We start from the raw sequence: 2,480 nt of genomic DNA, 5'->3' as shown, positions 1-2,480 counted from the left end.
GCTCCAGAGCCTAACTTGCAGTGGTGTGCAGCCTCCTGTCCTCACATCCATCTGGTGAAGCAGGCAGGTTTATGACTTCTTTAATTGATGATTGAGAGCCATAGGTCCAATTGCTAGTAGACAGAACCATCCACATTGCCAAAATGTTTGGTATTGTTTGGGTCCAATTTGACTGTTCCATCTGGGAGGTCAAGTTCCCAATAACCAAGAGAAACCATTACTCTTCTTTTAGATGGGGTTCTTCCTCTGCTACCCTTCCACTTTATCATAGGCCTCCTTTCCAGTCAGCTGATTTTCTTCTTCACAAAGGCATCACCCTTCTCCCTATCTTTGATACCAAAATCCCTTAAGTTCCTTTTCCTTCATTTCCCATATCCAGCCAATTATCAGGAATTCCTATTTATCTGTTGTATGTGTCTCTAGAATTTGCTTTTTCTTCTTCTCTCCTACTGCCATGACCATAGTCCAGTTGACTAACCAGACAACGGCCTCTCCAGCTTTAGGCACTTCCTACATTACAGCCATCTTGTCCCCAGTCATCTTAAAAGCTCAGTGGTCCTCATCACATTGCATGCTATGAGCCTCCAGTGGCACTCCACTGTCTGTCACAGTAGCCCTGGTTCTTGGGTCCTCCATTCTCTTCTCTCCTGTCAAGCAGGTCTCCTCATAGTCCCCATCTCTTGCCCATCTTCTTATGCCTATGCCTTCATTGTTATTTCCCCTGCTAAGTCGTTTCTCCTCTCTCATGCTTATCCCAATCTAGACATCCTTCCAGTCATCTGTGAAATCTCAGACCAGTCTTTCTTCTTGGATTTATATTGCTCTTATAGAAGATACTTAATGTTTAATTTTGTTTTCTATTTGTCTCAGTATTAATTTTATCTCCTCCACTGAAAAGGCAAATTCTCTTCTATAGTAGACTTGTCTGTCTTCTTTCTTGAGCAGCTGAGGAACCCATCTTCTCTAATTCCTTTCCCACTTCATGGCAGTTGGTTCTCTCAGGAGGTATGAGAACAAAGGGGTGGGGTGGGGATAAAGTGAGTCACCCAAGTGAAAAGGCACAGCAAGCAGAATCTGATTTCTAATCTCCAAAGCACTGTTGTTCCTCGGGATCCATGGGGAATTGATTCCAGGGTTTCCAAGGATACAAAAATCTGAGGATGCTCAATCCCTCATATAAAATGGTGTAGTATTTGCCTGTAACTTACGCACATTCTGCCATATACTTTATTTTATTTATTTATTTAGTTTCGAGACATCCTCATTCTGTTGCCCAGGCTGGAGCACAGTGGTGCCATTATAGCTCATTGCAGCTTCCTGGGCTCTAGGGATCCTTCCCCGTCAGCCTCACAAGTAACTGGGATTCTAGGCTCATGACACCATGCCTGGCTTTTCTCCTATACTGTAAATCATCCCTAGATTATGTATAATACCTCAAACAATGGAAATGCTATGTAAATGGTTACTATACTGTATTGTTTCCGTCCTTCCTTCCTTCCTTCCCTCTTTCTTTCTCTCTCTTTCTTTCCTTCTCTTTCTTTTTCTTTCTTTTCCTTCCTTCCTTCTTCTTTCTCTTTCTTTCTTTTTCTTTCTTTCCCTCCCTCCCTTCTTTCTTTTCTTTCTTTCTTCCTTTCTTTCTTTCTCTCCTTCTTTCTTTTTCTTTCATCTTTCTTTCCCTTCCTCCCTCCCTCCCTTCTTCTCCTTTCTTTCTTTTTTCCTTTTTTCTTTCTTTCTTTCTCTCCTTCTTTCTTTCTTTCTTTCTTTTTCTTTCATCTTTCTTTCTTTCTTTCCCTTCCTCCCTCCCTCCCTTCCTTCCTCTCTCTCTCTCTCTCTCTCTCTTTCCTTCTTTTTTTTTTCCTGTCTCACTCTGTCACCCAGGCTGGAGTACAGTGATGCAATCATAGCTCACTACAGCCTTGAATTCCTGGGCTCAAGCAATCTTCCCACCTCAGCCTCCCAAGTAGCTGGGACTACACGTGCACACCACCACATCTGGCTAATTTTTTTAAAAAATTTTGTATAGATGGAGTCTCGTTATGTTGCCCAGGCTGGTTTCAAACTCCTGGGCTCAAACCATCGTTCCACCTCAGCCTACCAAAGTGTTGGGTTTATAGGTGTGAGCCACTACACCTGGCCTGTATTGTTTTCTTCTTATTATTATTATTTCTTTTTTGACACAGGGTCTCACTCTATTACTCAGGCTGGAGTGCAATGGCAGATCTTGGCTCACAGCAGCCTCAACCACCCAGGCTCAAGCAATCCTCCCATCTCAGCCTCCCAAGTTACTGGGACTACAGGCCGTGCTGCTTGGTTAATTAAAATAAATTTTTTGTAGAGATGGGGTCTCACTATATTGCCCAGGCTGGTCTCAAACTCCTAGGCTCAAGCAATCCTCCAGCCTCAGCCTCCCAAAGTGCTGATTACAGGTGCAAGCCACTGCACCCAGCCTAATTTTTATTGTGGTTTCCCCCGCCTGCAAT

The 2,480-nt window shown here is 43.4% G+C and overlaps 1 annotated feature.

Moving 5' to 3' along the window:
* Positions 282 to 575: a silencer, noted in NCBI's record as "fragment chr8:38546721-38547014 (GRCh37/hg19 assembly coordinates)". NCBI's record gives its function as "represses an EF-1alpha promoter that drives an FKBP-Casp9 reporter gene in an ReSE screen in HepG2 liver carcinoma cells {active_cell/tissue: HepG2}" and the evidence as "EXISTENCE:reporter gene assay evidence [ECO:0000049][PMID:32094911]".

Source organism: Homo sapiens, chromosome 8 (assembly GCF_000001405.40).
Source record: "Homo sapiens chromosome 8, GRCh38.p14 Primary Assembly".
NCBI classification, from domain to species: Eukaryota; Metazoa; Chordata; class Mammalia; order Primates; family Hominidae; genus Homo; species Homo sapiens.
The sequence above is the reverse complement of the archived record's forward strand: the minus strand, read 5'-3'. Positions and strand labels throughout refer to the sequence as shown.